The following is an 11,501-nucleotide window of genomic DNA, read 5'->3' on the forward strand; positions in this document are numbered from 1 at the left end:
ATTCTACCCTGATGCCATCATCCCATTTAGATGGGCAAACCTTCAAGGAAGCCAGTGTTCTTGAGCATTTTGCATTCCTTTAGGCAAACTTTTCACTATCTGTGCTGGTCAGTGAGTCTTACCCAGTCCTCCCCAGGATTCGTGGAATCAGTTTGCTCCCGAAATGAACAAAAGCCAGGCAGGTAAAAGGGGAGAAGACAAGAGGCTCAGAGATTAGCTTCCAAAGGCTTGCTCTGGAGCTGCGGTTGGGAGAGCATTCCTGCCTCGTCCCGCCCTTCCGCTCTTCCCTGAGGAGAGGAGAGATGCTCACAGATGCTGGCAGGCTGAGGACTGTGCTTTGCATCCACTGCTTTATTACCACAGGCAGTGCTAACCTTAGCCCACCTGGCCCACACAGAGAGGGAAAGAACATTTCTGAGAACAGCTAACAAACCTGGGCTTCCCAGATGCATTCCACAGGAACCAAGGAAGTCCATTCTGAGTCAGTTTTCTAGGCCCTGGGGTTAGTGAGCACTTGGGCCACCAGGTTCTGGGTTAAGCTGACTTTATTAGGTCCAAAGACAGCTGTGAGGGGATGTGGCAAAGGTGTCTGGGAGCTGACCTTGCTTATGCATCCGAGGGCTGGGGCCACAGGGCGGGCTTGTGCTAAGCACCTTCTTGCCTAGTGCCCAACGGCTTGGAGGATTTCCAGGGCCAAGGGAGCCACCGCACTGTCGGCAAATGAACTGTAAGAAAAACCAAAGTAGGTACACTTAATAGGCATCTCTAAGGTAAAGTGCTCCCCCCTTTCAAAGGGGCCAGCCTCTTTTGCACCCGAGTATCTGGTGGACCAGCTGCAGCATCCTCTTGGGAAGCAGAAGCAGGAAATCCTGGCCCACAGTCCTGGTGGGGTTCAGAATTGGCCATGCCAGCACCCTGAGCTATTTCTGAGCTCCCAGCCCCAGCCACCACTCACTATCTGAGCCACCTCTGCCAGAAACACTGCCAGTGAGTGGTAGGCAGCCAGACTCTACCAGGCCTGGGGCCTTCAGTGGGCCTGCCTGGCTCCTGCCTGGAGCTGACTTATGTGTCCCAGACCCACTCCACACACTGACCCTCCCTGCTCCATTGCCCTTTCCAGCCAATCAGCCAGGAGCTTTCTTACTCTTATAGGTGTGGATGTGCAATTAAGAGCTTAAAACGGGAACTTTTTTACTGGAGCAAATTGTTTGAGACACATTTAAAACTATGTTTAACAACTGCTAGCAAAGAAAAGACTGAAACCAGTGACCCTTGAAGTGTAAAATTAGCTCGTGGCACACTCTTGACTGCACAGAAATAGAGCTGGTACCAAATAAATGGGTGGGGGTGGGGCCCTGCATAAAAGATGTGGGTGGCAGTGGGATGGGGCCATGACCAGGAGACCGTTCCATGCATTCCTGCTCTGCGCATCAAAGCCCCTGTGTGACAGAAGGAATGCGTTTGAACTTGGCCCACCCCTGGCTGAGTCTAGGCTAGACTAGTGGGGCCATGCTGCGCCCCCGCACACAGCAGGCCCAGTGAGGCTGGAAAGGACAAACTACTGGCAGAGCAGCATCGGAACTGAGAACAATGCCATCCACTCATTCTTGGTTGACAAGAAAACCCTTTCTGGTAAGGCAATCTGAACAAAGTCCAAACGAGAACTTTGCAGGAGCAACTTCCCCGCCCAACACAAGATCTGTCTGGTGTAGACGTTTTAGATGCTGGAGTACTGAGTGTGGGTGCAGGACAGACCACCAGCCTCATGGACCACTGAACCTTGTTTTGACACATTTGGTCCAAATTTGGGTCCAGCATGAGGATGTGCTATTTTTGGCTAAAAGGCAGCTATAGGTCCCTACTATGAGGAGACCCATAGCGCAGGTGCCTAGAGCGAAGGGGCTCTCTAGAGCTGTCTGTCAAACTCCACTCCTCTGTGGCTCTCTCTCTGCCCTCGGCATAAATCTCTGTAGCTGGCTCTATAATGGCATTTTGCACAAGGCCAGGATCCGATGGCATGTGCTCCTCAAAATAGTCTTACAGGAGGCCTATAGGCCAGTCCAGGGAGTCACTGTTCACACCTTACATGGCAGGGGCTCAGCAAGGTGTGAAGGGGCTTTTTGCAGGAAAGTCAGTCTCTCCTGCCCCTCACCTCACAGAAAACCATGAATACGAACTTACTTCTATGGTTTATGCTGAAGACAAAAGGGGTAGGGTTAGGCTAAAAAGGATGGTATCCTCCCCTCTCACCTATCCAGGATTAAATACAAAAGGCTGATTGGAATTGAGCCTTCTCTGCAAACTCACCTTCTTAGCAATGCTTCAGCCACTTATTTTTCTTCAAATTAATAACAAACCCAAAGCACACCAGGAAGCAGATTTCATAGAAACATGTAGTTCTAAAAACAGAATCTACCAGGAAATGGCAGACAGCATTCCAGGTCCAGTGAAGGTCAGGCACCCCATAGGAGGCGGGTCCTTCTCCCCAGGGTGGGGAAATGTTCCACTGAGCATCAGCGTCTCTGTGGGGCTGGCTGGGATGCCAGCTCCTTCTGCTTTTACAGCATGTAACATGCTCCTGGGTGATAGGCCTATCTCCGGTCTGTGGAACTCACTTCTAGGATGTTCTAGACACACTGACTGTACAGCCAAGGACTGGGAGGCTAGCCTAACCCCATGCTGTCAGCTTCCGGGTGTCAAATACGCAGTTCTGTGTGGTCCCTCTGAACTTCTGGCTGAGGAAGGTAACCTGGTGCAGCAGAGCAGGCTAAGCTGTCACATTTGCCCCAGCCCTGCCTGGGCCTTGAGTCCTCCACAAGGTGGTGATGAGGATGCCTCTGGCTGGGCTGCTGATGGGGGCATGTGTGCACAGGCCAGGGGCTGCCTTTCTCATGAGGTTCCTTGCATCTCCCACTTGGTCATCCACTCAACCTCTTCAGGGGCCTCAAGGTGGGAATATTGTTTCCCCTGGCAGGACTAAGACTTTCTCTCCCCCTGTTGATTCCTGTCCCCTCACTTTCCCCACCATAACTGGGGATTCCCAGTGTGTGGAGTGGCAGAGCTTCCCTTCCCACACTGGGAAGGATCTCAGTGGACAGTGATGGGCTGGAAGGTGGTAGTCCCTGGTGTGGAGGGAGATGAGTGGGAGGAGTGGAGAAAGGAATGGCTGAGAGTGTGTGCTGATCTAGAGCAGACTGCTGATCCTCCTGGGTCCCACTTACCCACTCCCAGGGGCCAGCCGCTCCAGAGCCCGCAGGAGGCTGCCTGCATTCTTGAGGCTCTCCAAGTGCTTCTCATTGGAGGTGATCTGCAAGGGCAGGAGGAAGAAGACAGTGGTCAGCTGACCCGTCCCTGACTCATGCCCTGTTGGATGGGCACCCTGAGTATCAGGCCTGCATGGTGCTGTGGCTGCCTAAGGCACTGGGGGGTGTCCCCTGGGCTTGTCTGTAACCCCCATGCGTAACCTCCCCCACAGAGTGTTGCTGACCAAGGGGAAAGAGGCAGGACACTGGTGGTCCTCAGGGGAGGGGACAAGGCAGTCTGCTGGGGCAGAAGACGGCCAGTTCAGGGCAGGGAGCCTCCTGCGGATCTCTCAGGAGAGTTTGTGTCTGGGAACCTGAACTTTCCAATTAAAGCAAAACTACTTTTTCTGTGCTGGGACTCAAGAGGCCTGGCTAGCAACTGGAAATCTGTCTTTGGGGCTCTCAGCCCAACATGATCTCTTTCACGTGGATAGAAGGATGCCAAGAAGGTGCCTGGGGACCTGGGAGAGAGGCATTAATAACTAAACCCCAGGAAGTGTGCCCATGCTAATCGCCACAGTCCTATGAGAAAAACACTTGGGCATGCCTGACTCTGTAGCACCTATTTGCAGAATCATACACTCTCAGGGCTAGAATAGGCTCAGGTGGGGATTTATCTAGACCCACAATTCTAGACCCACCCAGAGACCTCACAATTCAGACCCTCCATAAAATGAGTCCATGTCCTGAAAGGCAGAGAAGAGAAGGCTTTGATTCTACTATTAGACTTGCTTCTCTTAATTCACCGTTGCCTCCTATTGTTATCTTTGTTAGTTTAAAATTTCTTGTAATAAACGCTTGTATGGCACTTTACATTTCAGAATGCTGTTTCCTATATGTTTTCTCATTTAATCTTCTCAACAGCCTACCTTACAAGGTAAGTATATATCATGTTTTATTTATGAGGTAACCAAAGCTGAAATTAAGGGGCTGCTACAGGAGTCCACACGGAGCCAGACTGTCTCCCCACCACGAAGGTGGAACCAGGATGGCTTCAGCTGACTTTGATCACAGCAACCGAGGCTGGATTATTGTCTCCTTAGTTAAGAGGCTCAACATTTTTTAATCAACCACTCATGATAGGTCACAGGGGTAACTAAACATTAACATGAACTCTGAATTATATATGAATGCATTCGCACCTCCACTGAGATCCTCTCCCACCTTCCTGAGTATGCCAGAGAACAGCTGCCAGTTCAACTGCATCAGGTGTGATTTCTGCAAAGATTTGCATCTCGGAAGAGCTGCATGTAAATTTGTTCTGAAATTGCACCCAACTTGATGTGTTCAAAAGACTACTGCTTAAAAATGCCAGCTGTAGTTCAATTATGTCTGAAGTATGCATAAACTTACACTGAAGGTACACTCCCCATCAGGCGTCTTCAGTGAGGATTCCCACTTCATTTTTCTCAGAACTGCCTCAAACAGGTCAGCTGACTACATCCAGGCTCAGTGCCCCGACCAGCCCTGCCATGAGATTGTGTGCAGAGGCTGTGCTCCCAGGAAATCACCCACAAGTTGCAAATAAATCAGAAGATGACTTTCATCCACAAGGCTGGTTAGAAGGTGCAAATAGAAATCTACAGTGACAGTTATGTGATCAAAGGAAGATGCCAAAATGGTATCATGTGTAGCTGACATAAATGTAGACATAAACAACGCCAATTGAAAACTACGTGGTTTGGCCATTTACCTGACTCTTATTCATAACATCAGCTGTTGTTCTGTATATAAGGATGAGTTAATTCAAAAATAAAAATTTTAAATTATATCAATCAGAGGTTCCAGTTCTGCGTAAGACAGAGAAAACACATGACACTCTTTCTCTCCCTCTGGATGCAAATCTACAGCGCAGCTATTTCAGAACACTGAAAAGCAAACAGCAACAGGTAAATAGGAGAGGACACTGAATTCAAAGCACCACTGAACTGGCAGTGAGTTTACCACTTCTTTCTTAGCCTGGATGCAACAAACCCAAACCCCAAAAGCCCTAGAAGAAACCCAGCTTGAGGAATAGAGAAGGGAAATCCCCAAAACCCTAGAGAGTAGATGAAACCCCCTCAAGATTGCTTTGCTCTTTTTTCTCCATCCTCTTGTGTCCCAGGCCATTCTGTGATGGCAGCAGTGGTAGTGGGGACAGAGGTGGCAGCAACAATAGCCAGCAAGAGGAGCCTGCAACCAGATCTCTATTCTTTCTCTGTTCTCCTAGTGTTTGGCCTGGATGTTGCATAATCATGGAACTAGGCAGTTTTAGGCCAGATAAAAAATGGGAAACCCAGAGAACCAGAAAGTACTGGGGAGAGAATGAATCAAGAAGAGCTTAGTAAAGTTACTCCATAAAACTGTTTATGAACTCTTGGCCTCACCCCCAACCTGTGTATGCATGGAACCGATCCCAATAGCATGCCCCAGAATTGAAGAACTGAGGTAACAAATATATCTCTGCTCACATCCCAGACTGACCCCTGGGGAGGGACACACCAGATAGATGCACATAGCACTGCAAAACCTGTGAAACCAATATGACACTGAAATTACAATTCCAACCTGCAGCCTGAACCTAATCAGCATGATTGCTTGCTAAAACAAAAATATCAATATTCTCTGTAGTATTTAACAAGACAGGGTCTTATAATGTAATATTTTTAATGACCAGGATACAATTCAAAATTACTTGGCAAAAGCAACCATAAAATCTCAGCTGACATGAAAAAAGACAATCAACAGAGGACAATAAACAAAATGACATATGTTGGAATTATCTGACAAAGACTTCAAAGTGCTATTATAAAAATGCTAAAAACAATCACTAACACTCTTGAAACAAGTATTACAATAGAATATATCAGTAAAAAAGGAGAATATAGCAAAGAAGAACCAAATGAGAATTTTCTAACTAAAAACATAATAACCACAAATTTAAATTTAAAGTCATCACTGGATAGACTCAATAGCAGAATGGAGACAATAAAAGGAATGAGTCAGTGAACCTGAAGAAGATAGATCAATAGAAATTATCCAATCTCAGCAGCAGAGATTGAAAAAAAAAAAAAAAAAAGATTGAGAACACAAATGAGCAGCACCTCAGGGACCTATGAGACAATAGCAATAAGTTTTTGTCATTGGAGTTCCAGAATGAGAGGACAGAGAATAAATGAATGAAAAAGTATCTGAAGAAATCATGACTAAAACTATTCCAAAACATGCTCAAAGAAATAAATCTACAGATTCAAGAAACAGTAAATCCCAAACAAGATTAAACCCAAAGAAATCCATAACCAAATCCATCAAAATCAAACTTGCTGAAGACAAAGGATGTTGAAAGTGGGCAGAAAAAAAAATGATATATTACTTATAGGGTAACAATAATTTGAATTATTGTGAATTTCTCATCTGAAACTACTGAGGCCATTAGATTTTAAGATGCTAAATGAAATGAACTACCAAACTAAAGTTATATACCTAGAAGATATCATTCAGAAATGATATCATAGTTTCAAAATATTATTTAGGAATGAAGGTGAAATAAAGATATTTTCAGATGAATGAAAACTAATAGAAGCAGAGCTGCTATAAAAAATTTACTAAAGGAAGTTCTTCAGAGAGAAAGCAAATAACACCAGAAGGAAACTTGGAACATCAGGAATGAAGGAAGAGCAATAAAAATGGTAAATATAACAGGATATTATCTTTCTTTAAAAGCTGTTTAATAGTAGAAAAGAAAAAATACATATAATATTGTATTGATGGGGTTTTCAACATATGTAGATGTAACATATAAGACAGCTGGAACATAATAAGATGGGGGAGAGCAAAGGAACCTATATGGTAGTAAGGCTTTTATGTTCCATTTGAAGTGGTAAAATATTGTCATAAGTAGACTCTAAAAAGTTAAGTATTTTATAACTCCAAGAGCAACCACTTAAAAAAATTATACAAAGAGATGTAATTTAAAAAAAAACCCACAACAGATAAATTAAAATTTAATATTAAAAATGTTCAAATAGCTTAAAAGAAAGCCGGAAAAGGAAAAGTGAGGAAATAAAAACACTGAACCTAATCAGAAATCAAATAAAAAGGCAAACTACATTGTAACATACCAAGAATTACATTAAATGTAAATGATCTAAATGCAGCAAGTAAGAAATCTCCTGAATGATTTTTAGAAATGATCCAACCATCTATTGTGTGTAAGAATCTTAATTCAAATATAATGAGATAGTGGTTTAAAGTAAGAGGATGAAAAAAGATATACCATGCACACATAAATCAAAAGAAAGCTAGAGTGGCTATAGTAATGTCAGGCAAAGTAGACTTCAGAGCAAAGAAAATTACCAGGGACATATTTTGATTAAAGGGTTTTGTAACCAAGAAGACATAACAATAAATGTGTATACATCTAACAGTAGAAATTACACATACAGAAAGCAAAAACTGATACAACTGAAAAGGAAAACAGATAAATCCACAATCGTAGTTGGAGATTTCAAAACTCCTCTCATGATAAGAAACAGGATAAGTAGACAAAAATCAGCACGGATACAGAAGAACTGAGGAACCCCATCAACCACATGAATCCTATTGACATTTGTAGATCACTGATCCCATCAACAACAGTATTCACATATATTGCAAGAATCCAGGAATACTTACAAATGTATACAGTATTCTGTGTCATAAAACGTATCTTAACACATTTAAAAAAATTGAAACCATATAAAATATATTCTCTGACCATATGGAATTAAACTAGCAATTAATAACCAAGATAACAGGAATATTTTCAATCACTTGGAATTAAACAGCACACTCCTAAATAATCCAAGGGTTAAAGAGGACATTCCAAGAAAAATTAGAAAATAATCTTAGCTGAATGAAAATGACCTTGATACAACATGTCAGCATCTGGAAGGGGGCTAAAGCAATGCTTAGAGGGAAATCTATAGTACTAAATACTTATTTTAGGAAAGAAGAAATGTTCCTAATCAATCAATAATTTAAGCTTCTACATCAAGGAACTAGGAAAAAAGGGCCGGGCGCGGTGGCTCACACCTGTAATCCCAGCCCTTTGGGAGGCTGAGGAGGGCGGATAACTTGAGGTCAGGAGATTGAGACCAGCCTGGCCAACATGGTGAAACCCTGTCTCTACTAAAAATAGAAAAATTAGCCAGGCGTGGTGGAGGGTGCTTGTAAATCCCAGCTACTCAGGAGGCTGAGGCAGGAGAATTGCTTGAACCCAGGAGGCAGAGGTTACACTGAGCAGAGATCATGCCACTGCACTCCAGCCTGCGTGACAGAGCGAGACTCCATCTCAAAAAAAAAAGAAAAGAAAAAAAAGAAGAAACTAGGAAAAAAAGGAGCAAAACAAACCCAAACTGGGAAGAAAACAAGAGCAAACATTAAGAGGAATGTGGTAAATGTAGGCCCTAAAATATCAATACTTACATTAAATGTAGATTTACCAAATGCTCCAAGTAAAAGATTTCAAGCTGTATATAAACAAAATAAAACATATCTCTTATATATAATTATATACATCTGTAATATATAAATTATGGCTACACACACACACACACACACACACACACACAGTACTTATAACAAATATATTTTAAATATAAGGGCACCAAGGCCAGGCGCGGTGGCTCATGCCTGTAATCCCAGCACTTTGGGAGGCCGAGGTGGGTGGATCACCTAAGGTCAGGAGTTTGAGACCAGCCTGGCTGACACGGTGAAACCCCGTTTCTACTAAAAATAAAAAAAATTAGCTGGGCATGGTGGCACAAGCCTATAATCCCAGCTACTTGGGAGGCCGAGGCAGGAGAATCACTTGAACCCGGGAGGCGGAGGTTGCAGTGAGCTGAGATCGTGCCATTGCACTCCAGCTTGGGCAACAAGAGCGAAACTCCATCTCAAAAAATAAATAAATAAGGGCACCAAACAGTTGATGGTTAAAGGATGGAAAAAGATATGACATGCTAACAGTAACCCAAGAAAGTTGGCATAGCTAATACCAGATAAAGTAGACGTTAAGGCTATAATCGTAACTAGAGGTAAGGAGGGACATTTCATATTTATAAGAAAATAAATTGGCCAGGAAGATACAGCAATTCTAAATTTGTGTGCTCCTGATCACAGCCTCAAAATATATAAAACAAACAAATAAAAATGACAGAATTAAAGTGAGAATTACATAAATCCACAATCATGGTGACATACTTTTCAATCTCTTCCAGCAATGTGCATACAGAAACCAGAGGGGACACACAGGTTCTATACAACAAGAGTAACAGAATTGACTTAATTCACTTATATAAAAAATCATCTAAAAACTGCAGAATATATATTCTTTTCAAGTGCATATGGAAAATTTCCAAAATATACCATCTGCTGGGTCTTTAAGGCAAGTCCTGACAAATTCCAAAGGTATAAATCTGATAAAATATATCAGGATCTCTATGAGTAAAAACTGTAAAATGCTGACGAAAGAAAATAAATAAATGGATACACAATATTCAAGGATTGGAAGGCTCAATATAATAAAAATTTCTTCCAAAATATAGGTCTAATGAAATTCCTATCAAAATCTCAGCAGAAATCTTTGTAATATAGAATAGCTGAGTCTATTGCTTCTTGGCCTTTTGGCTAAGATCAAGTGAAGAATAACTGACTCTAAAATTTGCAATGGAAAGGCAAAGGAGCCAGAACAGGTAAAATAATTTTGAAAAAGCAGAATAAAATTTAGCCATCATACTACCCAACTTTAAGAGGCACTACATGATTCCAGCAACCATGACAATGTGGTACTGGCAGAAGGTCAGACACACAGATAATGGAATAGACAACAGAGCCCAGAAACAGAACTACACAAATTATTGTTAAAATTTTGACAGAGGTGCAGTTAATTCAAGGAGGGAAGAACAGTGTTTTGAAAAAGCAGTGCTAGAACAAATGGATGCGCATATGCATAAACATCAACCTAGACATATATTTTACATCTTATATAAAATGTAATTTTAAATGGATGATGGATCTAAATGTAAAATGTAAAAACTATATAACTTCTAGAAGAAAATATGGAAGAAATTCTGTGACCTTAGATTTGGTGATGAGTTTTTAACATAAAAACATAATCCCTTAAAAAAATTATAAATTGGACTTCGTCAATGTTAAAAACTTTACTTTTTGAAAACATAAGAGAATGAAAAGATATGCCATAGACTTGGAGAAAATATTTGCAACTTACATATCTGATAAAGGACTTATATCAAGAACATAAAAGTAACTCTTTAAAAATATTATTTTTAGAAAGAGGGTCTCTGTTGCCCAGGCTGGAGTGCAGTGGTGTGATCATGGTTTACTGTAACCTCATACTCCTGGGCTCAAGCAATCTTCTTGCTTGGCCTCTTGGTTCTCACCTTGGCTGGGATTACAGATGGAGGCCACCATGCCCAGCTAAAAAGAACTCGTCAAATTCAATAATAAGAGAACGACCAGCCTAGTTTTTAAAATGGGTAGAAAATCTGAATAGACACATCAGAAAGAAGATATATGGGTGGCAAATAAGAAAAGATAACTCAACGTTGTTTGTCATTAGGGAAATGCATATTAAAACTGCAGTGCAATACCTATTAGAATGGCTAAAATTCATAACACTGACAATAACAATGTTGGTAGGGATGAAGAATAACAGCAGTTCTCATTTATTGCTGATGTGAATGCAAGATGGAACAGTGCTTTGGAAGACGATTTGGCAGTTCTTTATAAAACTAAACATACAGGCCAGACACAGTGGCTAACACCTGTAATCCCAAAACTTAGGGAGGCTAAGGCAGGTGAATCACTTGAGCCCAGGAGTTCAAGACCAGCCCCAGCAACATAGTGAGACCTCATCTCTGCAACGAAATAAATAATAATTAGCTGGGTGTGGTGGTGCACACCTGGTCCCAGCTACTTGGGAGGCTGAAATGGAAGTATCGCTTGAGCCTGGGAGGTCAAGGCTTCAGTGAGCCATGATCAAGCAACTGCACTCTAGCCTGGGTGACAGGGTGAGACTATGTCTCAAAAAAAAAAAAAAAAATTAAACATAGTCCTACCATATGGCCAAACAATTGCACTCTTGGATATTTACCCAAGTGAATTGAAAACTTATGTCCACACAAAAACCTGTATTCAAAATCCTTCACACTTTTATTCATA

General features: G+C 42.2%; 1 protein-coding gene across 5 annotated transcripts in view, besides 1 other annotated feature; it reads right to left on the minus strand.

The window, feature by feature from the left end:
* Window positions 332-11,501, minus strand: part of ULK4 (unc-51 like kinase 4) — a 715,505-nt gene continuing 704,335 nt past the window's right edge. For all 5 annotated transcript variants that reach the window (NR_136342.2, NM_001322501.2, NM_017886.4 and 2 more), the window contains 2 exons: window positions 3,222-3,307; window positions 332-725 (listed from right to left, as the gene is read on the minus strand). Coding sequence is in view for 4 of the 5 variants with exons in the window: in NM_001322501.2 (NP_001309430.1) it covers window positions 662-725; window positions 3,222-3,307 (150 nt within the window). In the remaining variant the exon portion in view is untranslated. The remainder of the gene's footprint in view (window positions 726-3,221; window positions 3,308-11,501) is intronic.
* Window positions 2,938-3,438: an enhancer, noted in NCBI's record as "H3K4me1 hESC enhancer chr3:41290696-41291196 (GRCh37/hg19 assembly coordinates)". NCBI's record gives its function as "activates a minimal SCP1, AML or CMV promoter by ChIP-STARR-seq in naive H9 embryonic stem cells {active_cell/tissue: H9 hESC(naive)}" and the evidence as "EXISTENCE:reporter gene assay evidence [ECO:0000049][PMID:30033119]".

This window comes from Homo sapiens, chromosome 3 (genome assembly GCF_000001405.40).
Source record: "Homo sapiens chromosome 3, GRCh38.p14 Primary Assembly".
Taxonomy (NCBI): domain Eukaryota; kingdom Metazoa; phylum Chordata; class Mammalia; order Primates; family Hominidae; genus Homo; species Homo sapiens.